Source organism: Homo sapiens, chromosome 16, assembly GCF_000001405.40.
Source record: "Homo sapiens chromosome 16, GRCh38.p14 Primary Assembly".
Classification (NCBI taxonomy): domain Eukaryota; kingdom Metazoa; phylum Chordata; class Mammalia; order Primates; family Hominidae; genus Homo; species Homo sapiens.
The window spans coordinates 1,996,444-2,022,523 of NC_000016.10; the positions used below are offsets into that span (position 1 = coordinate 1,996,444).

At 59.5% G+C, this 26,080-nt stretch overlaps 2 protein-coding genes, 1 long non-coding RNA gene and 1 pseudogene across 5 annotated transcripts, besides 11 other annotated features; 3 read left to right on the plus strand and 1 right to left on the minus strand.

The window, feature by feature from the left end:
• ZNF598 (zinc finger protein 598, E3 ubiquitin ligase) lies at nucleotides 1,211-13,378 on the minus strand. 3 transcript variants are annotated; one of them, NM_001405665.1, is given in 14 exon segments: nucleotides 1,211-2,142; nucleotides 2,259-2,409; nucleotides 2,522-2,678; nucleotides 3,053-3,813; nucleotides 3,966-4,038; nucleotides 4,561-4,748; nucleotides 5,140-5,257; nucleotides 5,763-5,980; nucleotides 6,078-6,289; nucleotides 6,548-6,677; nucleotides 7,173-7,285; nucleotides 13,081-13,180; nucleotides 13,182-13,293; nucleotides 13,295-13,378. In NM_001405665.1, coding segments are annotated over 14 exon segments (2,697 nt in total). In that variant the 5' UTR covers nucleotides 13,305-13,378; the 3' UTR covers nucleotides 1,211-1,788.
• Nucleotides 7,598-7,667: a silencer, noted in NCBI's record as "silent region_7019". NCBI's record gives its function as "represses an Ori minimal core promoter by ATAC-STARR-seq in GM12878 lymphoblastoid cells {active_cell/tissue: GM12878}" and the evidence as "EXISTENCE:reporter gene assay evidence [ECO:0000049][PMID:35858748]".
• Nucleotides 9,165-9,459: a silencer, noted in NCBI's record as "tiled region #7653; HepG2 Repressive non-DNase unmatched - State 18:Pol2, and K562 Repressive non-DNase unmatched - State 14:Gen5'". NCBI's record gives its function as "represses a minimal TATA promoter and a strong SV40 promoter by Sharpr-MPRA in HepG2 and K562 cells {active_cell/tissue: HepG2 | K562}" and the evidence as "EXISTENCE:reporter gene assay evidence [ECO:0000049][PMID:27701403]".
• Nucleotides 10,257-11,204: an enhancer, noted in NCBI's record as "H3K27ac-H3K4me1 hESC enhancer chr16:2056701-2057648 (GRCh37/hg19 assembly coordinates)". NCBI's record gives its function as "activates a minimal SCP1, AML or CMV promoter by ChIP-STARR-seq in naive H9 embryonic stem cells {active_cell/tissue: H9 hESC(naive)}" and the evidence as "EXISTENCE:reporter gene assay evidence [ECO:0000049][PMID:30033119]".
• Nucleotides 12,677-12,746: a silencer, noted in NCBI's record as "silent region_7020". NCBI's record gives its function as "represses an Ori minimal core promoter by ATAC-STARR-seq in GM12878 lymphoblastoid cells {active_cell/tissue: GM12878}" and the evidence as "EXISTENCE:reporter gene assay evidence [ECO:0000049][PMID:35858748]".
• Nucleotides 12,757-13,186: a silencer, noted in NCBI's record as "silent region_7021". NCBI's record gives its function as "represses an Ori minimal core promoter by ATAC-STARR-seq in GM12878 lymphoblastoid cells {active_cell/tissue: GM12878}" and the evidence as "EXISTENCE:reporter gene assay evidence [ECO:0000049][PMID:35858748]".
• Nucleotides 12,757-14,052: a biological region, named in NCBI's record as "H3K27ac-H3K4me1 hESC enhancer GRCh37_chr16:2059548-2060496".
• Nucleotides 13,104-14,052: an enhancer, noted in NCBI's record as "H3K27ac-H3K4me1 hESC enhancer chr16:2059548-2060496 (GRCh37/hg19 assembly coordinates)". NCBI's record gives its function as "activates a minimal SCP1, AML or CMV promoter by ChIP-STARR-seq in naive H9 embryonic stem cells {active_cell/tissue: H9 hESC(naive)}" and the evidence as "EXISTENCE:reporter gene assay evidence [ECO:0000049][PMID:30033119]".
• Nucleotides 13,277-13,496: a silencer, noted in NCBI's record as "silent region_7022". NCBI's record gives its function as "represses an Ori minimal core promoter by ATAC-STARR-seq in GM12878 lymphoblastoid cells {active_cell/tissue: GM12878}" and the evidence as "EXISTENCE:reporter gene assay evidence [ECO:0000049][PMID:35858748]".
• On the plus strand, nucleotides 13,442-14,145 carry LOC124903626 (uncharacterized). The gene is made up of 2 exons (XR_007064941.1): nucleotides 13,442-13,659; nucleotides 13,865-14,145. It is a non-coding gene; the product is annotated as an uncharacterized LOC124903626 (long non-coding RNA).
• Nucleotides 13,577-13,736: an enhancer, noted in NCBI's record as "active region_10251". NCBI's record gives its function as "activates an Ori minimal core promoter by ATAC-STARR-seq in GM12878 lymphoblastoid cells {active_cell/tissue: GM12878}" and the evidence as "EXISTENCE:reporter gene assay evidence [ECO:0000049][PMID:35858748]".
• Nucleotides 15,587-15,782: a silencer, noted in NCBI's record as "fragment chr16:2062031-2062226 (GRCh37/hg19 assembly coordinates)". NCBI's record gives its function as "represses an EF-1alpha promoter that drives an FKBP-Casp9 reporter gene in an ReSE screen in phorbol 12-myristate 13-acetate-treated (for megakaryocytic differentiation) K562 erythroleukemia cells {active_cell/tissue: K562(+PMA)}" and the evidence as "EXISTENCE:reporter gene assay evidence [ECO:0000049][PMID:32094911]".
• RN7SL219P (RNA, 7SL, cytoplasmic 219, pseudogene) lies at nucleotides 16,738-17,033 on the plus strand (annotated as a pseudogene).
• NPW (neuropeptide W) lies at nucleotides 23,342-24,312 on the plus strand. Its single transcript, NM_001099456.3, has 2 exons — nucleotides 23,342-23,869; nucleotides 24,090-24,312. Exons 1-2 carry the CDS (start codon nucleotides 23,459-23,461, stop codon nucleotides 24,174-24,176), a joined length of 498 nt encoding a protein of 165 aa, NP_001092926.2. The 5' UTR covers nucleotides 23,342-23,458; the 3' UTR covers nucleotides 24,177-24,312.
• Nucleotides 24,085-24,379: a silencer, noted in NCBI's record as "tiled region #2092; HepG2 Repressive DNase matched - State 3:PromF". NCBI's record gives its function as "represses a minimal TATA promoter and a strong SV40 promoter by Sharpr-MPRA in HepG2 cells {active_cell/tissue: HepG2}" and the evidence as "EXISTENCE:reporter gene assay evidence [ECO:0000049][PMID:27701403]".

The following is a 26,080-nucleotide window of genomic DNA, read 5'->3' on the forward strand; positions in this document are numbered from 1 at the left end:
CTAGCTCTTGCTCCTTCTTTAAGAAGTCATTTTTTAGCCAGGGGCGGTGGCTCATGCCTGTAATCCCAACACTTTGGGAGGCCGAGGTGGGTGGATCACCTGAGGTTGGGAGTTCCAGACCAGCCTGACCAACATGGAGAAACCCCATCTCTACTAAAAGTACAAAAAATTAGCCAGGCATGGTGGCGTATGCCTGTAGTCCCAGCTACTCGGGAGGCTGAGACAGAATCGCTTGAACCCGGGAGGCGGACGTTGTGGTGAGCCGAGATCACGCTTTCGCACTCCAGCCCGGGCAAGAAGAGCGAATCTCCCTCTCAAAACAAAAGTCATTTTTAGCCGAACACAGTGGCTCATTCCTGTAACCTGGCACTTTGAGAGGCCGAGGCAGGAGGATTGTTGGAGCCCAGGAGGTCAAGGCGAGCCTTGGCAACATAGCAAGACCCCTTCTCTACAAAAAATATCAGCTGGGCATGGTGGCGCACACTTGTAGTTCCAACTACTCAGGAGGCTGAGGTGGGTCACCTGAGCCTCAGGAGGTCAAGACTGCACTGAGCTGAGATCACACCACTGCACTCCAGCCTGGGTGACAGGGCCAGACCCGGAAAGAGAAGTTCTTTCCAATAACCTTAAGGAAACAGCCCATTTCTCAGACTGCTCTACTCTTCTGTGGAGCTGGTCTTGCTTAGGAACCTACCATCCCCTGCCAAGTGGGCATCAGCTGTGAGGCGCCTCTGGTGTGGGGGGAATGCAGGTGGCCCCTACCCAGCCTCTCATCTCCTAGCCAGCCCCAGCATGGCCATCACCCAGGGGACACAGTTGAGTCCCAGTGTCCAAGTCCTCAGCTACAGGGGGGCAGTGCCAATGCCGCCACATGGCTGACCCAGCCCCTCTGCAGCCACTGACCTTGGCTCTTCATCACCATGGGAGCCCCTTTCTGCTTGCTTTAGAGAAATTTCCCCACTTTCTCTGATCTGAGGACATATTCTTGGCCTTATTTGAATGTGGCTGTGTTTAGAGCATTTTTCCTACTTCTATGTGCTGGAAGCAGAAAGTGATTACCGTATGTGTCTGGTCTCCCTCCAAAAACACCAGATCCAGATAATTACGCTCAAATTATTTCGCTGCAGTATTTCAGATGTCCCCTCCACCCTGTTTCTAAATTTGGCTTCAGGGTATACTCAGAAGACAGAGAAGCTCAGAACACCAGCTATGCGTGGTATTGCAAAATAAATTTATTTGAAGATAAACTGTCTTATAAAAGGTCAGAGGCAATTTGAGATCCCAGATTCAGCTTGTCTCATAAAAAGATTCAACTTCAAGTAGCACAATTTCTTGTCTGCTTTTAATCCTGAACATTCTTGAAGCATGAAACAGCCAACTGTTTACACAACACATCTGTGACATCTGACTCTGGCACCAGTGGCGCCGCAGCTTTCAGCTCTGAGGCCCCACGGGCTGCAGCCCTCAGCTTTGGGAGGGCCCAGATCAGGCCACTGTGACCTCTGGCTTTGCCAGCAACAACAGGTCCCAGCATCCCAGCCCTTCCCTCCCCTGGCACCTCCCAAAAGCACAAGAATGCAAACCGAGACTGGCCCACCACTGAGGCAGGGGTGGACTCCCGCTTGAGTGTGCCAACAGGGCGGGTGGACTGTCCTGGTGACTTCCTGGTGGGCCTGGCCAACCAAGAGGCCAAGTGGCCTCACCAGGCCTTACCTGGCTGCCTGGCAGCCCGGAGAGGAAGGAGGAAGGACGCTCACGGTGCGACAGCTCTGGCCACGCTGGCGGGAGCTACGTGATGATCCTGGCGATGGCTTGCAGGGAGGGGAAGTCGTCGTCCCGGGCAGCATGCAGCGCCTGGTGGCTGCTGGCATCGCCATGCGCGAGCACCTGCTGGCAGGTGGGGCACACACGGCAGTCCAGGCCCGCCTGCTGGGTGGTGGCCTGCCACGCGCTCTTCTTGTTCTTCTTGGACTTGGTGCTCAGAGGCTTCTCGCGGTTGCAGAAGTCCGTGTGTGCAGACAGGAGCTCCTGCTGCTTGGCCGTGTCGGGCAGCAGGACCAGCAGCTCATTAAAGACCTTCTGGAAATTCTCCCCCAGCAGGTCCCGGCAACTCTTGTAATACTGGGCTGCGGAGATCAGGCCCTGCCACCGGAGAGCCGGACTCAGTCATCCCCTCTGGCCCGGGCCCTGGATGAAGACGGGCTGGCACCCCGCCCCGGGCCCGCCTGACCCATCTGGACTCCCCGGGCCCGCCTGACCTGTCTGAACTCCCCTGAGTGGCTCTTGAACTCGCTGAAGCGGGCCTCGTCGCTCTGCAGGAAGTCCCTGATGGACTGGATGAGCTGAAGGTTCCTCTCCCGGAAGTTCTCGGGGACTAGGTACGCCCGTGGGGCAGGCAGCAGCCTGGGTCTGGGGGTCAGAAGGTAAAGAGGAGGTGGAGGCTTCAGCCTTCACAGTGGCCCAAGGGGAGGGTACCGTTCCTCCACCCCCGGTGGACACCAGGCAGCTCACCCACACTTACGCTTTTGTGGTGGTGGTGGTGGCGGGGCTGGGGACACAGGCCGGGTGGGGGCTAGGCAGAAGGCCAGAGAAGCCAGGGGGCGGCTTGCTGATTGGGGGCACCAGGCCCGGCGGGGGTGGGGGAGGCGTGCCCTTCAGGAGCACCACAGCGCTGAAGCCTGAGGGGTGGCAGGACAAGACCCAGAGAGGACCCTCGCTGACTGCGGGCTGCCTGGCCTCCAGGGCCAGCTTCTGTCTACAGCCACCCCTTCCCTGCAGGGCAGGTGCAGGGCCAGCACCCACACCACTGCTGCTGGTGTGGCAGGCCCAGCCCACACAAGCTCACGCACCCTCAGACCTGGGAGGCGCCATGAGGGCCGGTCTCACAGAGGCAAGGAACACAGGGTGGTTAACGGGAGGCTGGAGGTCATGTGGGTGGCCGATGGCATCACACAGGGGTCCCCACCACCCAGATGCAGACTGTGCCTGCGGCTCCAGCCTGACCCCGGCCCCTCCCGACACCCAGGGAGCAGGCCTGAGCCAGCACGCGTACCTGGGGGCGGCGGCATCCGGGGTGGGCAGGGGCCGCCGAGCGCTGGGAAGTCCTCCTGTGGCGTGGGGCAGGGGAAGGACCCCAGGGGCCTTGGGAGCCCAGGGGGTTCCTTGGGGGCACTCCGAGCAGGGGCCGGGCCCTCCATGTGTCCATTAACGACGACGGCAACTGGCCCCTCGGCTCTGCTGGCAGGAGCTTCCGGGGCCTGCAAAGCCCCTGGGGGACAGGTAGCGGGCGGGGGCTGTGGCAATGTGGTGCCTGGCTTCTCCGAGCCCACTTTCTTCTTCTTCCCAACTTTAGAGGGTTGGATGGAGGCCAGCCCCAGTGTGGAGGAGACGGAGCCCGTGGGGCGTGTGCTCAGAAGCTCCTGCAGGGCCGGGCCGCCGTCCTCCTCCTCCTCCTGTGTGAAGGGCGGGCCGCCCTTCCTGCCGCCCCTGCTCCCCTTCCCAGCCTTCCTGGTGGGCTGGCCGCTGCCGGTAGCCTGCGCCGAGAGTGGGGGCTGTGCTACCTTCTTGCTGCTACTGCTGCTGTTCCAGGCAGAGACAAGGCTGGTGGGGGCGGTGCCAGGCTTGGGCACCGAGGACACCAGGGCGGGGAAGTCCTCCTCCTGGAAGGCACTCCTGCCTCTGGCAGGGATGGCGTACGGCAGCGCCAACCCCACAGGGCCCGGGGTTGCTGCAGTGGAGCAGGAGGAGGAAGTGGAGGCAGAGAGGCTGGGGAAGTCTTCGTCCTTGAGCTTCGGGCTGGGTGGTGGGAGGGCGCTGGGTGCAGGGAAGCACAGCTGGTCAACAGCTATCAGGCCCCGTGGCTCCATACCTGCCCTCCCGGCACCCACCTGTGGCTGCCCGCACCCGCCCACCATGCACCATTCACCCCTGGGCGCCCATACTCTCACCCTGGCACCCCCACACACCCTGGGGCGGCTGGGCCTGTCACCGAGAAGGCTTCTTGGCTTACAGGACCATTTGTCGAGGTTTCCTTGGGGCCTATGAAGAACACAAGGCCCCCAGGTCAGGTCAGGGTGTGGGGACAGGCCCTCTGGGGACTGGCAGTGCAGGGTGCTCTTCAACCTCCCAGGTGAAGGCCTGGAGCGTCCCAGGCACCGTGCCCATCAAGAGCTGGCCACTAAGCTGGACATCGTGGCTTACACCTATAATCCCAGCACTCTGGGAGGCTGAGGTGGGCGGATCACCTGAGGTCAGGAGTTTGAGACCAGCCTGGCCAACATGGTGAAACCCCATCTCTACTAAAAATAGAAAAACAAGCCAGGCGTGGGGGCAGGCACCTGTCATCCCAGCTACTCGGGAGGCTGAGGCAGGAGAATCACTTGAACCCGGGAGGCAGAAGTTGCACTGAGCCAAGATTCCGCCACTGCACCAGCCTGGGCAACAGAGTGAGACTCTGTCTGTCTCACAAAAAACAAACAAACAAACAAACAAACAAAAAAAAAGAGCTAGCCACTGACCTCCTAGCCCGGGCAGAGCTGCCACCAGGTAGGGCTTACTCACCTGGGCCTTCGCCCTGAGTCCGGGGTGAGCGCCGGGGGCCACGGGGATCCTCAGGTCCCCGCGCCGCTGCCTCCTCCTTCTTGGGCCTACCGCCTTCCTCCTGATCCTCACTCCTGCGAGCCTCCTCCTGCTGCTGTGCGGCCACGGAGGCCCGGACAGCAGCTGCTACTTCTCGGTCCTCTTCTTCCCTGGGACAAGGAGGCCAGCCTTCAGGCTGAGCATGGCCCGAGACCAATGCCTCAGGCGGGCAGTGCCTGGGCCCAGTGTGTGGGGCGATCATCTGGGGTCTGATGCCTCTGCCCTGCAGGGCTGCCGGGGCGGTGCTTCCTCGTACAGCTGCGGTGACCGCCCAATTGACACAGGCCCCTTTCACCCACCCCAACCCTGGGATCTGTGGCTGTGGCTAGAACTGGAGAAAAGAGAGAGAAACTTGTGCCCACCAAGGACCCTCAACAGACCCTACTGCCACTCAGGACCCCAGGAACTCTGGCCACAATCCCTGACCCCATCCCCACTCCCAGCTTGGCCACTGGCCACGGTCACCACAGGAGAATGTCAGCGGCACGCAAGGTCCCCCACCTTTTGTACCTCCAGCTTCCTCGGCGGCTCTGCTGGGCTCCGCGAGTGCCAGCCCGGGCCACTCGGCCCTGGCGGCTGTACCTGTCCACCTCCTCGTAGTCTTCGCCACCAACGACCCCTGCGGCCAGCAGACAGCCCGTCACTTCCCGGGACCCCGGGACGACAATAGGAGGAACAGGCCTGCCGTCAAGGCCACACCCGGCCAATGCTCAGGCCTGGATGGCAGAGGCTTTCCTACCCACAGTGCACATGAGCCCGGGAGTGGCACAGGAGCCTCGCAGGGTCCACGCCAGCCACGGGCCTCTACGACCTGGGTGCCAAGCCACAGGAGCAGTGGGAAGGGAGAGGAGGAGGGTCCCCGAGCCCCAGGTGGGATCTGCATACAGCAGATGCTCAGTAAAAGCCTCCTGGTCCAGGGAAGGGCCCCGGGCACCCAGGGCAGCAGACCCGAGACCCTGAGGGAGCAAGAGCTCCTGGCACACAAGGGGTGCTCGGGCGCTCCAGCCTGGCCGGAGGGTGGGAGGTCAGCTCCTGCACCCACAGCTCGGTCTCATCTCAGGCTCCAGAGCAGGGCATGGTCATGCGGCCCCACCTGGGGGCATCCAGGCCAGGTGCCTGCTCACCCTCGTTCCGGCGCGAGTGCCGTGGCGCGTAGCTGAACTGCAGGTCGATGTGGCGGTTCTGGCGTGCCTCGGCGCGGCTGCGACTGTGGCAGGCCGTCCTGTGGGCCTTGAGGTCGATCTCGGTGCGGAAGGCGTGGGTGAACTGCTCCGTGCTGCAGCGGCCTTCCTCACACAGAAAGTGCTTCTCCCGGAAGTGCTCACGCAGGTAGGCATAGTCGCTGGCAGGAGATGGGGTGTCGGTAGGAGGGCTGCAGCCCGGTTAGCCCCACGCCCTCGGGGAGGGAGGGTCATCTGTCTGTCTGCTGCCCGGCCCACCTGTAGTAGTCCTGGGCCCCGTCCGAGTCGCAGAAGTGGCAGAAGTAGTGGTCGCGGCGCAGGTGCTTAAGCAGCTCATCATTGTCCAGGTAGCGCTCGTCACAGAACTTGCAGAGCGGGTGCCCACGGTGCGACGTGTCATCGGGGTCACCCTGCATGCGATGCCGGGCCAGGTCCTTGCGCGAGTACCACTTGCGCTCATATGTGAAGATCTACAAGGCACAGGAGGCTGGGCACAGGCTGGGGGACCCCAAGCCTCCTGCCTCTTCCCACAGGCCAGTGGCGGAGCAGCAAGGGGCGGGAGAGGGCCCCGCCAGCAGCCAGAGGCCTCCCTGCCACGTGCAGCCTGACCCTCAGGGGGCCATCCGGGGCCAGAAGCAGCAGGTGGACAAGCCCCTCCCAGCCGTGTGGCCACATCCCTTGCACCACCCACCGCCTAGGCTCTCTCCGGGGTCGCTGGGGGGGCACACCTGGAGGTGCTGGAGGCACAGACGGCAGCAGAAGAGCTCATGCTGCCTCCGCATGTGCTGCTCCAGGTCCCCGAAGAGGCTGAAAGGTGGCAGCTCGGGGCACCGCGGGCACTCGTGCTGCAGCAGCTGCCTAGGAAGACACCGAGAGCCGCCCACGGCCCCAGGACATTCAGTGTCACCGCCGGGAGCAGGGCCACTCACCAGGCCCCAGGCCCGTGACCCAGGACAGATGCAAGGCCATGGCTGTGCACATGGCCTGGGTCAGAAGCCTGGCTCTAGCCCTGAGCCCATGAGCTGCCCCTCCTCTGAGAGACCAGCCCTGGGACAGCTGTACCCTTTATAGGATTTTCAGGCCACGGGCCTGGCTCACACACCTCGTGTGCCCCTCAAGGTGCCCCCGAGGCAGGTGCTGCACCACCTGGGCATGCCTTTCCCCAGCACAACCACCAGCTCTACCCCCAGGAGGGCCTGGTAAGCCTCCCCAGTCACAGGATGGAAACCCAGGTGCCTGGCCCCAGCATTGGTGCACCAGGTGGCCCCCGAAGTGCCTCCGGTTGTGAGGAGAGTGGGACGTGAAGGGCCACAACCACAGGGAGGCCAGGACCCAGGGAGAGGCCCTGCTCACCTGTACAATGCGTACACCTTTCCATCTGCAAAGTAGATATCATATTTCTTCTCATGCTGCAGCTGGTGGATGGGGATGGTGGCAAAGGCAGGAAGCTTCTTCCCAAAGACCACCTAGAGCCAAAAACCAGAGGGGTGGTGAGCAGGACTGGGATGGGACCCCCACCTGGGATGCAACGGAGGCTCAGAGGCAAGGGAGCCCTCACAGACCCTCTAAGAAGGAGTGAGGCATAAAGGGTCCTCCTAGGAGGCCCCAGCAGGCAGCGGCCCCTGGCACCCTGGCCTAGGCCTCCCCTCCTCACCCCAACCCGCTTGCCTAGGGTCAGGGGCAGAGGACAGAGACACAACGCCAGGCCTCTCCACCAGGGGGCGGCAAGGCCAGTCCCTAAGCAGCCACGCCCCACCGGCCGGGGCCCTCACCCGGTGGCTCCACCCTGCGGGGAACAGAGCAGCTGTCGCTCTGCGGAGCTTTCCAGGACAGAGAAGAAACGTGTTCCAAGCAGCTGCTAAGGGAATACCAATGGCCGCCAGCCGGGGATGCATCAGGTGACAAGGCCCGGCTACCCTGTCCGGCGCCCCCGCCCCCACGTTTCCATGGCGCCTTCACGGCACGAGGCTCAAGCCGACCACCTCAGCTCCGTGCATCCTCAGCAGGCGCTGCAGAGCCTCTGCGTGGGCCCCTTCCCAGGGGTCTCTGGCACCTGCAAAGCTGGCTGCCAGAGGACTTGCCCGTCTGCCCTGTGCCCTCCACAGACGGCCCCGGCATCCCTGCTCAGCTCAGCACCCCTGCTCTCCACGAAGCTCTGCTGGGGAGGACCCTCGCTGCCCCCATGCCAGCAGAGATTGGTGCCACCCACCCCTTGGGTTGGTCAAGCCCCCTTCTGGCTCCATCACTGTCCCAAGCCTGGCACTGGTCACTCGCCTCGGCTCTGGGCCCTTAGAGCAGCTCAAGGCCTCAAGCGCACATCCAGGGCAGGGGGACGTCCTCACCCGGGCAAGGGTCATGCCAAGGTCATGTTAAGTTTACCTTAGCCCCTTAGCCAAAGAGAATGTCGGGCTGGAACGGCCGTGAAGCTGGGAAACCTGAGGCTTGGCAGGAAGAGCCAGTCCCACACGTGCTCAGGGGGTCCTGGGGTGTCTCTGTCCCCCAGAGCAGGTGGTTAAATCTGACTCCCCAGGAGGGTCAGGAGCGCCAGGAGAGCTCAGCCCCCACCCCACCGACAGGAGCCGCTTCCACCAGGGGCGGGGTGGGCGGTACGGGCTGCAGGAGCAGCAGCCCAGGCCTTTCCTCCCCTGGTCACATCAGGCAAGGCTGGGCAGGATGAACTCGGCCGCCTCTGCGTCCCCGTCACATGCTGGGCTCAGATGGGCACTTCATCACAGCTGCCTCCCACGCGCGACGTCTTCAGATGGGAGTCGCAGCCCCACCCAGAGCCCCATTACAAAGGCTGCCAGTCACTGCGGGCCACACCACCCTGACCTGTCCCCTGGCTCCCCTCCCCTGGAGCAGCCTCTCTGCACACCCCAAACACAGGGAAAGGCCCTGGGCCTTGTGCGGCCTCTTTTCACAGCAGCTGCCCTCGCGGCAGCTGGCACCCAGCCCTACCTTCCACTCACTCCCAAGGGCGCCTCTCCAGCCCGACCCTCACAGGCGCAATCTGTGCAGCCACTCAGGGTGCTGCTGGGACCCAGAGCACGAGCCTCCTCGGGGAGCTGAGCGGAGCCACTCAGGGTGCTGCTGGGACGCAGAGCGCGAGCCTCCTCGGGGAGCTGAGTACCTGGACTCCCGGGAACCAGACAGGGCCACTTCCCCACCACAGCTCCCGAAGCAGCAGGCAGGCGGGCGAGGAAGCCAGTGTCTGCCTGTGAGGTGGCCAGGCGAGCAGCCTGTGAGGGAGGCCCCAAGGCTGCCAAAAAGCATCCAAGCCCATCAGACTCCGAGGAGAAACGACTTCCTTCCCCAGAGGAAACCCGTGCCAGGGGCGTCCCCAGCCCCACCTCCCCACTTTGGCACCCCTCCTTTCAGCCGCACGCCCTCATCCACCGTGGGTGGCGGCGACTCAGACTGCGGGCACAGGGGCATCCCAGGCACCCCTAACACGCAGCCAACCTCCACTGGTGCGTCCCCCGAGTGCCACCCGTGTGCGGGCACAGGGCCAGGCCCCGCTGAGGAGCACATACACTCCTCTGTCCTTGCCGCCTGGGGGCACCCATGCTCCATGCGATGCTAGCACATCGCAAGTCCCAAGAAACCTATGTGGGACGGCACTGGTGGGGCTGGCGGACTCGGTCAAGGCAGCCTCTCTGAGGCCAGGGAGCAGCTGGGGGTGGAGGAGCTGCGGGGAGCTGGGCAGAGGCAGGGCCAGGCCGGGCGGATCCCAGGTGCACTGACAGCACCCAGATGAAGGACCCAGGGTGGGCCAGCACGGGAGGGCTACATGCCCCATATGGAGTCTAGATGGGCATCCATCTGCACAGCAGCTAAGGCAGGTACTCCGAGCACCAGGGGTAGCAAGACCCAGAGTATTCGTCCCTCCTGAACAGCTGGGAGGGGTCACCTAGGCAGGGCACCTAAGCGGAGCAACGAGACAGGGGAAAGGAGACACTGGGTGGGCTCAGGAACAGGAAGAGGCTTGTGAAAGAACAATGGCTGTGAGCAAGGTGGGCCCAAGGCCACAATCACTGGAGCAGGAGGGCGTGCAGGTTTGGGGCCGGAGTGAGAAATACCACCTGATAGTGGGGGCCTGAGGCTGCCCATCCTCAGACAGGCAGGGAGACCAGGACTGGCTGCCCAGACCTCAGGAGCGGGCAGTGGGACAGCAGTGCAGCCTGGCATGGCCAGCATCGCCCTCCCTGAGGGTGAGGAGGGGGCTGGACAAGGCTGCGCCCCGCAGCACAGTGGCCAGGGTGGAGTCAGGCACGGTCCACTAAGGAGCCAAACAGCAAGACCCTCCCCCGCCTGATGGTTCCAGCACAGCCAGGCTGGGAGTAGGGGACGTAGGGGACATGGAGGCCAGGGGAAGATGGCTATGGGTAGGGGACTTGGGGGCCTGGGGGAGATGCCTGGGGTGGGACTTGGTGGCTGGAGGGAAATGGCTGGGTTGGGACGTGGGGGCAGGGGGGAGATGGCTGGGGCTACAGAGGGAGACAACAGGTCTAGGTCGCCCCAGCAGGAGAGGGTCACGTGTCTGAGGACAGAAGTACAGAACCCATGGGGAGAGGCTTGGGGATGGGCTATGCAGCAAATGATGAGGGGAAGGGCACTCTACGTGAGCCCTGGAGACGGCCAAGCTAGGCCCCAAGGAGAGCAAGAGGCAAATGGGGTGAGGCCTGCTTAGGAACAGGAGGCCCCCAAGACCCCCCACAGGGACAGGTGTGGTGTCTGCCTGGGGCCTTGCTGCTCTACACTCCCCAGCATGTCATGGGCACACAAAAGGACAGCGGTGAGGGCCTGCCCACACGTGGGGAGGGGGACCCTGGGGTTGGCTCCCAGGGCCATCTAGAGAGTCTAGACCTCCAAGGAGCCCAGATGGGGACAGCAGCAGCAGGGAGCATCTTACAGAGGGCCAGGGCCATGGGGGACGGGAGCGGGGTGGGGGGACAGCAGAAGCAGGGAGCATTTTACAGATAGGGCCAGGGCCACGGGGGACGGGAGCAGGGCGGAGGGGGAGCAGTAGGAGTAGGAAAGCATGACCCAAGCCAGCATGTCACCCTCCTGACCTGGGACCTTGGGTAACTGTGGGCTGGCCCTCTGCGCCCCCTCCCACTGCCTGCCTGTAAGGTGCAGGTGGGCTGCCCTGGGGGGCTTGCAGCCTCATCAGGACTCCTGCAGTAACACCAGGGACCAGAGCAAGCTGGAGAGCAAGATGCAAACAGCAGGAACCGGCCCTTGAGAAAGACGCAGCCAGGAAAGAGGCCCAGAACGTGGGGCTCCACCACCCCAGGACCTCTGTCAGCCATGGCCAAGACCAGCGCCCCCACCTCCCACGGAGGGGAGCCTGCCTCGGCTTCCACCCTGAGCACCTGCCAGGGGTCAGGCCCATCTGGCTCCTGGCCTGAGCAGCAGCTGCAGCCTCCACAGGGAAGGCCTGGGTCCAGGTGTGTGGAACTAACAAGCACATGGAGCCAGCCGATTCCACACGGCATCCTGGACACTTTCCTCACAATTTTCGCAAAACCTTAGTCCCATAAGGGAGGCCAAGGCAACGCCAGGGTTCAGGAGTTGAGGGTTGCAGTGGGAATTCCTGAGCACGCATGGGACACAGAATATATTCAGGGGATGGTGCTGAACTCAGTAAGGAAAAAGGAGACTAGAGTGAGGCGGCAAGCTCAAGATGGGAAGAAAATAGAACGAATGCAAAGGAGAGGAGACCAGCAAACAGCAAACTTTCCAGGAGCCCCTCCTTCAGCCCAGTAAGGCGGGGTAGGCCCTAGAGGAAGCCGGCTGGGGGCACCCAGTGCCAAACCACACCCCGGCTGACAGCTCATGTCCGCAGCCCCCAGCCACAGAGCTCCTGGAGGGCGTGGGGCCTACAAGGAATGAGAGCGGGCAGAGGCTGCCACAGTAAGCATACGCAGATGTTCACTCATGTCTTGCATCAGACCTGCAGCCTGGGTCGGGACCTCACGTGCCAAGAACTCCTTAGCGTCTTCTTTCCGGAAGGAAGCTACAGGTGTGCTGGGAAACCTAGCTGTTGGAGAGTGAGGTCATGCTATGCAGGACTGGCTGGCAAGGCAGGCCCTGGCAAAGCCAGGAAGCGCCCTGAGGAAGCCACGGGCCAAGGTCCTCTGTGACTGTTCCTGCACCCCAGATCTCCCCGGGGTCTGGGTCGGCCTCCTCCTGTCACATGACAGACTGATAGAATCTCCAAATGTCTTTTTCCAAAAAGGGCACAGACTATAAGCCCACAAATTGCTCAGAGAATTGCAGCATCTCTTCAACTCCTTTGATGTAAACGTCTACTTAAAGAAAGAAAAGGAAAAAAAGAAAGAACCTACACCTCAATACTGCTCTGCATCACTTCTGGGGAGAAGAAAGTTAGATTCCTGGCAGATGTCACCAGCCGAAGCCTTCTATGAACAAACCGGGGGAATTTCACAATGCTGGAAGCAAACAAATCTCTAAGCTCAGCAAACCAACGGGCTCCAGCCAGGTGCCCACAGCCAGCAGCTGGCAGTGCAGTGAGGGTGGAGGAACGCTGCATGGTACCCTCTGACCCCTCCACGGCTTCCAAGTCTGTACAGTCAAAAACGTCTCCCATTCACTGCGGAGATGAGCGCCAAAGGCGGGGGGCGGCGGCGAGGAGGAGGACAACTTCCTAACACTTTTCTCCCTTCCCGCCAAGAAGCGCGAGGGGGCCTTCCCCTCCGACGGGCAGGTCTCCTTCCGAGGCTAGTGTCACCTCCACTCCACAGAGGAAAACGTCAGTCTCGGAAGGAGTTTGCTCAGGGTCATCCAATGGGGGCCCAGAAACACAGCTGGGCTGAGAATGCCCAGAGTTTGACGCCCTGCTTCCAGGACGGATGGCCTCCGCAGAGTCCCCCTTGCCTTGTTTCCTCGAATGGAGGACCCTGGAAAATAAACTCCTGAAGACGAGCAGGTCACCGAGTTCTCCATCTGATCAGGACCCTTCCTGAGGCCCGGCAGGAACCCCCGGGACACGGGGGAAGTCCCCAGGCTGTCCCCACAGGGCTTGCCCCCTCCTGCAACCCGCTCGGCCGCCTCCGGCCTCCAAGCCCCAACGCCCCGCCGTCAGCCGCACGGCCGGGACCCCGCCCTGGGTGGCCCCACCAGGCCTCTCTCGGAAGCCGGCGCCGCCGGGCCCACGGCCGGACCTCAGTGAGGCAAAGTCCCCATCCGGTCGCCGGGAGCCCCGCTGCCCCCGGGCCGCGCCCCCGGCGCCCCGCACCTGGCGCAGCTCCTCGCGGCACACGGCGCAGTAGCGCTGCTCGCAGAGCACCCGCATCTTGGTAGAGCAGCGGTAGCACACCGGGTGGTCGCAGCGGCCCCAGCGCCGTGGCCTCCAGGTCTCCGCAGCACAGCACGCAGCTCCCGCCTCCCCGCTCAGGAGCTGCCGCCGCCTCCGCCTCCATGTCCGCGCGCCGCCCCTCGGCGCCCCCCGGCCGCCGCCATGGTCCGGGATCCGGCCCCCCTCTCGGCCGGTCGTGGCGCCGAGCGGCCTGGCTCCCGGCGGGCCCGCCCCTTCCGGGCAAACGTCACCGCCCCACCCAGCAACGGGCCCGCCCGGCGCAAGTGCGCGTCGCGACTTCCGCCTCAGCGCGGCGCCGGCTAGAGCGGTGGCCCTGATAGAGGCCGCTCTACCATGAGCCGACCGCTCGAAGGTCCGCGCGGCCACGCGGCCAGCCCCGGGCTCCTCTGGGCCACGCGTGTCACGTCAACACTCGCCGGGCTCCACGAACTGGCGTTGTCAGATGAAACACGGCACAACTGGTTTGCATCTCAGATGAACAAGGGGTCATGTCTTAGTGTAAGTATAGCCCAAATATTGATGGGCTAGGCTCATACTAAAATGCTGCTCCTTATCTGAAATTGACATTTAAGTGGACCTGCCGTATTTGTATTTGCTAAATCTGGCCACCTTATTAGGAAACCGGTCTCTGGTATTTGGAACACACACAAGCGTGGTCCCGCCTCCACTTCCCTAATGCCCTGTTTAAATCCCTACATGAAAGACAACGTGAAAGGCAGCACGTGGTGACGTCCATCTCGCAGCCCAGGGCAGTCTCGCCAGGCCTGCCCAGAAGGGGCCTCTGGAAGGCACGAACGGAACCTGTCCTCTTTACGCTGGGCCCAGCACAGGACGTGTTTGGATGGATGCTGCAGTAACAGGGCCTCCTCCCTACCCTTGAGGGCCAGGCACACTCAGGACCTCCCTCCCTCTGCCATCCAGAAGGCAGGTCCAGATCTAAACCCTACTGGAAAAGAGGCAGTAAATTGTATCAATGAGCCTGAACTTTACTTACTTTATTTGAGACCGGGTCTTGCTCTTGCTGTAACACAGTGGTACGATCACAGCACACTGAGGCCTCAACCTCCTGGGCTCAAGTGATCCATGCCCAGTGAACTTGGACTTTAGAAACAGACACAAATGGGCTTGAAACCCCAATTTTGCCACTTGAAAAAAGCTGTCAGGCACAGTGGCTCAAGCCTGTAATCCCAGCAGTTTGGGAGGCTGGGTGGCCCGGATTGCTGGAGCCTGGGAATTTGAGACCAGCCTGGCCTACACAGTCAGGCTCCATCTCCACAAAAAAAATTTTTAGGCCGGGCGTGGTGGCTCACGCCTGTAATCCCAGCACTTTGGGAGGTTGGGATCACCTGAGGTCAGGAATTGGAGACAAGCCTGACCAAAATGGTGAAACCCCATCTCTACTAAAAATACAAAAATTAGCCGGGCGTGGTGACATGTGCCTGTAGTCCCAGCTACTCGGCAGCCTGAGGCAGTAGAATCTCTTGAAACCGTGAGGCAGAGGTTGCAGTGAGCCGAGATCACGACAATCACGCCACTGCACTCCAGCCTTGGCAACAGAGCGAGACTCCATCTCAAAAAAAAAAAAAAAAACACACACGACTAGAGTGCAGTGGCGTGATCTCGGCTCACTGCAAGCTCCGCCTCCCGGGTTCACGCCATTCTCCTGCCTCAGCCTCCTGAGTAGCTGGGACTACAGGCACCCGCCACCACGCCCTGCTAATTTTTTTTTTTTATTTTTAGTAGAGACAGGATTTCACCATGTTCGCCAGGATGGTCTCGATCTCCTGACCTCTTGATCCACCTGCCTTGGCCTCCCAAAGTGCTGGGATTACAGGCATGAGCCACTGTGCCTGGCCAAAACACACAAAAATTAACGGGGCGTGGTGACATGCGCCTGTAGTCACAGCTTCTCGGGAGGCTGAGGCACGAGAAACGCTTGATCCCAGGAGGCAGAGGTTTCAATGAGCAGAGATTGCGCCCCTGCACTCCAACCTGGGCCACAGAGTGAGACTCCATCTCAAAAAAAAAAAAAGAAAACTGGGAAAAGTTATTGTAAGGATGTAAGAAGTTCAACATCTTGGCTGGGCGCGGTGGCTCACACCTGTAATCCCAGCTTGAAATTGGCACTTTGTGAGGCTGAGGCAGGTGGATCACGAGGTCAGGAGATCAAGACCATCATGACTAACGCGGTGAAACCCCATGTCTACTAAAAATACAAAAAGAAATTAGCCTGGTGTGGTGGCGGGCGCCTGTAGTCCCACCTACTCCGGAGGCTGAGGTAGGAGAATGGTGTGAACCCGGGAGGTGGAGCTTGCAGTGAGCCAAGATTGCGCCACTGCATTCCAGCATGGGCAACAGAGTGAGACTCCATCTCAAAAAAAAAAAAAAAAAAAAAGGCCACAAACTTGGCTTAAAACACACAAATGTATTATCTTTAGTTCTGGAGTCCAGACTCTAACGTGGGTCACACTGAGCTAAAATCAGGGTGTCAGTATCACTGCATTCCTATTTGGAGGCTCCAGGGGAGAATCTGCTTCCTTGCCTTTTCCAGCTGTTAGAGGCTGCCCGAACTCCTTGGCTCATGGCTGCTTTCTGTCTTTCAGAGTTGACTCTGGGGGAGGCCAGTGGTCCAATCTTTTTTTTTTCTTTGAGATGGAGTCTCTGTCGCCCAGGCTGAAGTGCAGTGGCACAGTCTTGGCTCACTGCAACCTCCACTTCCCAGGTTCAAGCAATTCTCCTGCCTCAGCCTCCCGAGTAGCTGGGACTACAGGCACCCGCCACAACACCCGGCTAATTTCTTTTTGTATTTTTAGTAGAGACAGGGTTTCACCGTGTTAGCCAGGATGGTCTCCATCTCCTGCCCTCATGATCCACCCGCCTCGGCCTCCCAAAGTGCTGGGATTACAGGCGTGAGCCACCCCGCCCAGCTTTTTTTTTTTTAGGTGGAGTTTCGCTCTTGTTGTCCAGGCTGGAGTGCAATGGCACAATCTCGGCTCACTGCAAACTCCGCCTCCCGGTTCGAGCAATTCTCCTGCCTCAGCCTCCTCAGTAGCTGGGATTACAGGCATGCGCCACCACGCCCGGCTAATTTTGTATTTTTAGTGGAGACGGGGTTTCTCCATGTTGGTCAGGCTGGTCTTGAACTTCTGACCTCAGGTGATCCGCCTGCATTGGCCTCCCAAAGTGCTGGGATTACAGGCGTGAGCCACCACGCCCAGCCGCTAATCTCCTATTAAAGCCAGCTGGCCTGATGTGGTGGCTCAGGCCTGTAATCTCAGCACTTTGGGAGGCTGAGGCAGGCAGATCACTGGAGGTCAAGAGTTCGAGGCCAGCCTGGCCAACATGGTGAAACCCCATCTCTACTAAAAATACAAAAATTAGCCGGGCATGGTGGTGGGCGCCTATAATTCCAGCTACTTGGGAACCTAAGGCAGGAGAATCGCTTTGAACCCGGGAGGCAGAGGTTGTAGTGAGCGGAGATCATGCCACTGTACTCCAGCCTGGGTGACAGAGCAAGACTCTGTTTCAAATAAAATAAAATAAAGCCAGCTAATTAGCAACCTTAATTTTATATTCCCTGGTGTGGTGGTGCGCACGTGTAGTCTCAGCTACTCGGGAGGCCGAGGCAGGAGGATTGTGTCAGTCCAGGAGTTCTGAGGATATAGTGGGCTGTGTCAGTCAGGTGTCTGCACTAAGTTTGGCATCGACTTGGTGACCTCCTGGGAGCAGGGGACCACCAGGTTGCCTCAGGAGGGGTGAACTGGGCCAGTTTGGAAAGAGAGCAGGTCAAAACTCCTGTGATCAGTAGTGGGATCACGCCTGTGAATAGCCACTAGACATCAGCCTGGGCAACATAGTGAGACCCTGCCTCTAATCAACCATTTTATCTACAGCCTAATTCCCTCCTACTATGTGGCATAAATATTCACAGGTTGCAGGGATTGGGGGCGAACATCTTTGGGGGGCTACTGTTCTGCGTACACACATGGGTGAAGGCCAGGGATGCTACTAAAGATTCTCAGTGCACAGGATGGCAAAGGTCAGTAGTGCTGCAGCTACGAGTTTTTCTGTTTCTGGCCGGGCGCAGGGGCGCATGCCTGTAATCCCAGCACTATGGGAGGCCGAGGCGGGCGGATCCCCTGAGGTCAGGAGTTCGGGACCGGCCTGGCCAACATGGCGAAACCCTGTCTCTACTAAAAATACAGAAATTAGCTGAGCGTTTTGGCAGGCACCTATAATCCCAGCTACTTGGGAGGCTGAGTCAGGAGAATCTCTTGAGCACAGGAGGCGGAGGTTGCAGTGAGCAGAGATCGCACCATTGCACTCTAGCCTGGGTGACAGAGTGAGACTCTGTCTCAAAAACAAAACAAACAAAACAAAACAAAATAGTAGTTATGCTTATGATTCAAACATTTGGAGATAAATACTAGAAGAAACAGCTAACAGCTAAAAGAGTTGGAAGTAGCTGTCTCTGGAGAGTAGGAGCAGGGTGTGAAGGGTGGGCAGGGATAGCTTTGTTCTCTTCCTTATAGCAAGCAGCCTTTGATTTATAATGTATACTGCCTTGACAACATTAATTATTTTATTTTATTTATTTATTTATTTATTTTTTATTTTTTTGAGACGGAGTCTTGCTCTGTTGCCCAGGCTGGAGTGTAGTGGCACCATCTCGGCCCACTGCAACCTCTGCCTCCCGGGTTCAAGCAATTCTGCCTCAGCCTCCCGAATAGTTGGGATTACAGGCATGCAACACCATGGCTGGCTAATTTTTGTATTCTTAGTAGAGATGGGGTTTCACCATGTTGGCCAGGCTGGTCTCGAATTCTTAACCTTGTGATCCACCTGTCTCAGCCTCCCAAAGTGCTGGGATTATAGGCGTGAGCCACCAGGCGCAGCCCTAATTATTATTATTATTTTTTTTTTTCCTTTTTTTTCTTTTTCTTTTCTTTCTTTCTTTTTTTTCTAATTTTTTTTTTTTTGAGGTGGTCTCTTGCTCTGTCGCCCTGGCTGAAGTGCAGTGACATGATCTTGGCTCACTGCAACCTCCGCCTCCCGGGTTCAAGTGATTCTCCTGCCTCAGCCTCCCAGGTAGCTGGGATTACAGGTGCCTGCCACCACGCCCAGCTAATTTTTGTATTTTTAGTAGAGACAAAGTTTCACTGTGTTGGCCAGGCTGGTCTCAAACTCCTGACCTCATGATCCGCCCGCCTCGGCCTCCCAAAGTGCTGGGATTACAAGCGTGAGCCACCACACCCGGGCAATTTTTTGTATTTTTAGTAGACACGGGGTTTCACCGTGTTAGCCAGGATGGTCTCGATCGCCTGACCTTGTGATCTGCCCACCTCGGCCTCCCAAAGTGCTGGGATTACAGGTGTGAGCCACTGAGCCTAGCCAATTATTTAATATATTTACTGTTTTGGTTTTTTTTTTCATTTTTTGTGAGATGGAGTCTCGCTCTGACGCCCATGCTGGAATGCAGTGGCATAATCTCGGCTCACTGAAACCTCCGCCTTCTAGGTTCAAGCAATTCTTATACCTCAGCCTCCCGAGTAGCTGGGATTACAGGCGTGCACCACAACACCCAGCTAATTTTTTTGTATTTTTAGTAAAGATGGAGTTTCACCGTGTTGGCCAGGCTGGTCTTGAACTCCTGAGCTTAAGTGATCCGCCCACCTCGGCCTCCCAAACTGTTGGGATTATAGGCATGAGCCACTGAGCCCGAGCTATGTATTTACTTTTTGAGACAGGGTCTGTCGCCCAGGCTGGAGTGCAGTGGCAAGATCGCGACTCACTGCAGCCTTGCGAACTCCAGGCCTCAAGGGAACTTTCTACCTCGGACTTCAGGCACACACCACCACACCCAGCTAATATATATATATATTTCGTCATTGTTTGTTTTGGTAGAGATGGGGTTTCGCCATATGGCCCAGGCTGGTCTCTAACTCCGCCTCAGCCTCCCAAAGTGTTGGGATTGCAGGCGTGAGCCACTGTGCCACGCCCTGGCCAATAATTTTAAAGATGACAAAACAGATTTGCTCATTAATCTCCTCCTTACCAGGGCGTTCCTGTTCGGGGCCAGGCTTTGTGCCTGCGGCAGGCGTGGTCCTGGCCTTAAGCAAGTGTCTCACGGGTTTCTAGGCCGGACACTGGTGTCAAGGAACTGAGATGTGAGCCTCAAGAAGCAGGGCTGGCTCTCGTCACCTCCTCCCCAAGGAGAGTTGTGACTCCAGACCCCTGGAGGTGGGGAGAAGGAAGCCTTTGTCACCAGGTCCTGTTCCTGGGCACCAGGCTGGGCAGGACACAGAGGCCTTCCTCCTGCCGCCTGAAAAGGGAGCCCACAGACACCCTTAAGGTTCTGTGTTTTGCTCCTCTAACCCAGTCCTGGTCTCCCCCTGCCACGTGTTCCGGACACTCCACCCAACAGACGCCTCCCCGTGCCTCTGTTCCCAGTGACCTTTCCCTGCGTCCTGCGACTCTCACTCCCTTGGGCCACAGCAATAAACAAGGTAGAGGAGCCACTGCTGGTTTTTTTGTTGTTGTGGTTCTGTTTTGTTTTGTTTTTTTTGAGATAGAGTCTTGCTCTGTCGCCCAGGCTGGAGTGCAGTGGTGTGATTTTGGTTCACTGCAACCTCTGCCTCGCGGGTTCAAGTGATTCTCCTGCCTCAGCCTCCCGAGTAGCTGGGACTACAGGCACCCATCACCACGCCTGGCTAATTTTTGTATTTTTAGTAGAGACGAGGTTTCACTGTGTTGGCCAGGCTGGTCTCAAACTCCTGACCTCATGATCTACCTGCCTTGGCCTCCCAAAGTGCTAGGATTACAAGCATGAGCCACCATGTCCAGCTGTTTTTTTTTTGTTTGTTTGTTTTGTTTTTTTTTTTCTTGAGAGAGAAGGAGTCTTCCTCTGTTGCCCAGGCTGGAGTGCAGTGGCGCAATCTCCACTGCTTCTATTTGCTGTCACAGGGACTTCCATCCCAGCATAGACTTTCATTGATCAGTTTCCACAGTTCCCCCTGCAGAAGCTCCCCGGGCCACCTCCAGGGGGCGTCCTGGACCCTCCCCTGACTGGCTGGAGTCCCCCCAGGGGTCCAGAGACACCCACGTCCTCTTAGCCAGGAGCGGGTGGCAGCGCCAAGGGACCCTGATGGGGCCTGGCTCTGGCCCATGTCGTGCTGCACTACCCGCCCACCACACACTCCAGGCAGCTGTCAAGGACAAGGGGCCCTGGGGGAGCGTGGCGGGGATAGCTTCTTGCAGGGCCTCTGGTCCCCGTGGTCCTCCAGGCGGCGCAGACAGCTCCATCTGCATCCCCCATTCTGCCCCTGTCACAGTGTTTTCCTGACAGGCTGGGGGTGGTCAGCCTCTGGTGCAGCAAGGATAGGTCCTAGCCACAGCGTTCATTGAGTGCTTACTGGGTACCAGGCACGGTTCAGCTCCCAGACCCACCACTGGATTATCAGTGCCAACAAGATGATGAAGTGGCCACTTTTTTTACCCCCAGTTTACAGATGAGGAAACTGAGGCAGGAGAGGCCGAGGTCCTTATCCTCTTCCCCTCAGCTGCGACTATCAAGCAGGGCTGGCGTCTCGCCACTTCAGTGTGGCCTTCCTGGAGAGGGCTGCTGCTTCTAACCCTCGTCAGGCTCACCAGACTCACCGGGGACCCTCACGCCTCAGGAGTGGGAGTCTGGCTCTGCCCCCAGACCTTCTGTTTTGTTTGTTTGTTTGTTTGTTTTTTGAGATGGAGTCTTGCTCTGTCACCCAGGCTGGAGTACAGTGGTCCCATCGTGGCTCACTGCAACCTCTGCCTCCCGAGTTCAAGTGATTCTCCTCCCTCAGCCTCCCGAGCAGCTGGGACTACAGGTGTGTGCCACCATGCCCGGCTAAGTTTTTTTTTTTTTTTTTTTGAGATGGAGTCTCACTCTGTCACCCAGGCTGGAGTGCAATGGCACAGTCTTGGCTCACTGCAACCTCCGCCTCCGAGGACCAAGCAATTCTCCCGCCTCAGCCTCCTGAGTAGCTGGGACTACAGGCGCATGCCACCACACCCGGCTAATTTTTGTATTTTTAGTAGAGATGGGATTTCACTATGTTGGTCAGGTTGGTCTGAAATTCTTGACCTCGTGACATGCCTGCCTCGACCTCCCAAAGTGCTGAGATTACAGGCATGAGCCACTGTGCCTGGCAAGTTTTGTATTTTTAATAGAGATGGGGTTTTGCCATGTTGGCCAGGCTGGTCTTGAACTCCTGGCCTCAAGTAATCCACCTGCCTCAGCCTCCTGAAGTGCTGGGATTACAGGCATGAGCCACTGTGCCCAGCCTGCCCCCAGCCTTTCTGTGCCCTTCTGGACAGGAGTACCCTGTTCCCCCAAGCTGAGGCTCTTGGGCTCAGGTGCTAGGATGTATCTCACCTCCACCATTTACCCAACATGATCTGGGGCAGGTCAGTTCTCCCTGGGCCTCAGTTTACTCGTTGGTGAGTGGAGTCAATAATAGTTCCACTCATGACATTGTCTGGAGGTCAAGATGAGATAGTTCATGATGACCCAAAACGAGATCCCTGGTGTCTGGGACCCAGGGGCTGCCCCATGACTGACATGGTTGCTGAGGGAGGGCTGGATTCACCCTTGCTGGGAGGTCAGGAAAGACTGTGTCAGGCTCTGCCCTCTGGGAGGGGGTTGTTAAGCCCAGATGGCCACAGAGGGAAATTCTGAGGGACTGTCTGGCCCTGCGCCTTTTTTTTTTTTTAAGATGCAGTTTCGGCCGGGCACAGTGGCTCACGCCTATAATCCCAGCACTTTGGGAGGCCGAGGCGGGCGGATCACAAGTCACAAGGTCAGGAGATCAAGACCATCCTGGCTAACGTGGTGAAACCCCGTCTCTACTAAAAATACAAAAAATTAGCCGGGCGTAGTGGCGGGCACCTGTAGTCTCAGCTACTCGGGAGGCTGAGGCAGGAAAATGGCGTGAACCTAGGAGGCGGAGCTTGCAGTGAGCCGAGATCGCGCCACTGCACTCCAGCCTGGGCAACAGAGCCAGAATCCGTCTCAAAAAAAAAAAAAAAGATGCAGTTTCGCTCTTGTTGCCCAGGCTGGAGTGCAATGATGCAATCTTGGCTCGCTGCAACCTCCGCCTCCCGGGTTCAAGCGATTCTCCTGCCTTAGCTTCTCAAGTAGCTGGGATTACAGGTGCCTGCCACCATACCCAGCTAATTTTTTGTGTTTTTCGTAGAGATGGGGTTTCACCACGTTGGCCAGGCTGGTCTTGAATTCATGACCTTAGGTGATCCGCCCGCCTCGGCCTCCCAAAGTGCTGGGATTACAGGTGTGAGCCACCGCGCCCGGCCAAGGATCTGGGCCATTTAAGTGGAGTCTTGAAGGATGAGTAGGTGTTAGGCACAGACGCACAGAGGCAGGCAAAGCCACAGGCTGTTGGTTTAGGCAAAAATTGAGACTGGCTGGATAAAGTGGTCTTGGGGGACCATCACCAGAGAGGAGGCGCTGGAGGTCTGCAAGGCCTTGTCCTGCCCCTCCAGGGGTAGAGGTTCCAGGAGGGGCTGACTTTTTCTCCTGGAAGCCTCACAGAACTGCAGACCCCACGGATGGCTTGGTGTTGCCAACATGAGGCTTCTAAGGCTTCTGCGGGGAGATGGGTTGGTGGGGAGAAGCTGGGGGTGGCAGTGGACAGGACAGGGTGTGGGGACAGCTTTGGGAGCTATGCTAGGCAAGGACAAGGGACAACTCTTGGGGGGACTCACCCAGAGGGGTCTTGAATGGTGCTGAAGGCCCCCGACAGCCCTCCTGCAATAGCCACTGTAGCTCTGCCTGCACCTGGGCCTTCGCTCTGCTGTCGTCCCACCGGCAGGAGTCTGGCTAAAGGGGCATCCCTCAGCCCTACTCCCTCATCAGTGTTCCCAGTACCCACTCCCTGGCACTTCCACTCCTAGAGGGAGGAGGCTGAGCAGGCAGAGAATGGGACGTGTCCCCTCAGAGGAGCCTCGAGCCCAGTTCCAGCCAGCGGCCCACTCAGTGAGGTGCTCAAGTACCCACGTCCCCCGCCAGCTGCCAGGGTTCCCTCTCCTCCCTCCGTCCCTCCCCCCATCTGGGGAGCCCAGCGGTACTGAGGGGGCGGAACGAGGCGGGGCCACCGAGCGGTTATAGCTGGGCCTGCAGGGGACCCACGGCTCGCCTCCAGCCTCCTGCGCTCCGGTACCTGGGCGTCCCAACTCCACTGCGCGCCCAAACCCAGCCGAGCCGGTTCGTGGCCCGCCCCGCCGGGCGGCCGTCGACGCGAGCGCCCTGGCGTGGCGCCCAGGGGAGCGGGGGGCTCCCGCGAGCCGGCCGCGGCTGGCACTGCTGCTGCTTCTGCTCCTGCTGCCGCTGCCCTCCGGCGCGTGGTACAAGCACGTGGCGAGTCCCCGCTACCACACGGTGGGCCGCGCCGCTGGCCTGCTCATGGGGCTGCGTCGCTCACCCTATCTGTGGCGCCGCGCGCTGCGCGCGGCCGCCGGGCCCCTGGCCAGGGACACCCTCTCCCCCGAACCCGCAGCCCGCGAGGCTCCTCTCCTGCTGCCCTCGTGGGTTCAGGAGCTGTGGGAGACGCGACGCAGGAGCTCCCAGGCAGGGATCCCCGTCCGTGCGCCCCGGAGCCCGCGCGCCCCAGAGCCTGCGCTGGAACCGGAGTCCCTGGACTTCAGCGGAGCTGGCCAGGTACGTGAGAGGGGAGAGGCCTGGACCGCCGCGGGCAAGGGGGTCTCGGGAGGTCTGAGCCGGAGCACGGAGCCGCGCGTTCAGGGGGCACCCTCGGGCCCTTCCATTCCCTGCTCCGCGCCCAGAAGAGCTTTCCCTGGGCAGGCTCGACCCTGGCACCCGGGGGCGGTGGTTGGAGGGCCACAGCCTCCTCCCCACGGCCTTGCTGTGTTCTCGTTAGAGACTTCGGAGAGACGTCTCCCGCCCAGCGGTGGACCCCGCAGCAAACCGCCTTGGCCTGCCCTGCCTGGCCCCCGGACCGTTCTGACAGCGTCCCCCGCCCGCCCGTGGCGCCTCCGCGCCTGACCCAGGAGGAGTGGCCGCGCGCTTCCAGGAGCCGCTCATAGACCCCGCCTGCCGTCCGGTCAATAAAATCCGCCTGACTCCTGCGCCCCCGCATGCGACCCCTTCGTCTGCTTGTGTACTTTGCCGTCTAGCTCAGGGCGCAGACAGGCGCGCCCACGCCCTGGCAAATGTCAGGGGCCCCTCCCTCGCCGACCAGGGGAAGCGCCGGGCACTCAGCATTCATTTCAAACCTGGATCTCCCGGCACCCCCTCCCTCCCTTAGCCAAAGGCTTCCGCAGATTGATTAAGAACCCCTGGTCCCCTTCTTCTGGGTCATGCCCCGGGAGGAGGGGCCCCTCCACCTGAGCCCCACCTTGCTTCTTGCTTTTTTTTTTTTTTTTTTTTGAGATGCAGTCTCTCTTTGTTGTCCAGGCTGGAGTGCAATGGCGCGATCTCGGGTTACTGCAACCTCCACTTCCCAGGTTCAAGCGATTCTCCCGCCTCAGCCTCCTGAGTAGCTGGGATTACAGGCACCCACCATGATGCCCAGCTAATTTTTGTATTTTTGTAGAGACAGGGTTTCACCATGTTGGACGTGCTGGTCTTGAACTCCTGACCTCAGGTGATCCGCCCACCTCAGCCTCCCTCCCAAAGTGCTGGGATTACAGGCATGAGCCACTGCCCCTGGCTGCTCCTCTGCCTTTTTTTTTTTTTTTGAGACGGAGTCTGGCTATGTCGCCCAGGCTGGAGTGCAGTGGCGCAATCTCGGCTCACTGAAAGCTCCGCCTCCCGGTTTCACGCCATTCTCCTGCCTCAGCCTCCCGAGTAGCTGGGACTACAGGCGCCCGTCACCTCGCCCAGCTAATTTTTTGTATTTTTAGTTGAGACGGGGTTTCACCATGTTAGCCACGATGGTCTCGATCACCTGACCTCGTGATCCGCCCGCCTCAGCCTCCCAAAGTGCTGGGATTACAGGTGTGAGCCACCGCACCCGGCCTGCTTCTCTGCCTTTTATCCCCCTCTGCATGCACTTCTGGTCACTGGCTCCAGCCCCCCCACATAAATGTGCCCTGCCATCTTGAACACCGAGGACCTCCATCCACCAGGCCCCCTCCAGTTCCCTTCCCAAGGGTCTGGGCCCCTCCTCCCTCCCGCTGCCTCTTCAACCCTCTCTAATCTTCCCTGGGACTCCAATGACTGTCCTGGACCCCAAACCACCAAGGTCACATGCCCTGATGCAGCCCACCCTTGGAGCCCTCCTGTGGCCATGTGGCAGGGTCCCCCCTTGGGGCCACCCAGCAAGCATTGGGGGAGAGGTGGTCCTGGGCCTGGCTCCAGGATGCCTCTGTGGAACCAGCTCCCCACCCCCACTTCTAGAAGCCCCCCTCCCCTCACTGGTAGGTCCTTTCCATCTCCAAGGTGTGTCTGTCTCCCAAATGTGGGTGCTTTTTATCTCCACCCCTTCAATTCTTTTTCTTTTCTTTTTTTTTTTTTTTTTTTTGAGACGGAGTCTCCAGCCCATGCTGAAGAGGCACTATCTCGGCTCACTGCAACCTCCGCCTCTCTGCCTCCCCGGCTCAGATGATTCTCCCACCTCAGCCTCCCCAGTAGCTGGGATTACAGGTGCCCACTACCACGCCCAGCTAATTTTTGTTTTTTTTTTTTTTGAGACAGAGTCTTGCACTGTTGCCCAGGCTGGAGTGCAGTGGCATGATCTCCGCTCACTGCAAGCTCCGCCTCCCGGGTTCACACCATTCTCCTGCCTCAGCCTCCCGAGTAGCTGGGACTACAGGCGCCCACCACCACGCCCAGCTAATTTTTGTATTTTTAGTAGAGACGGGGTTTCACCATGTTGGCCAAGATGGTCTCGATCTCCTGACCTCGTGA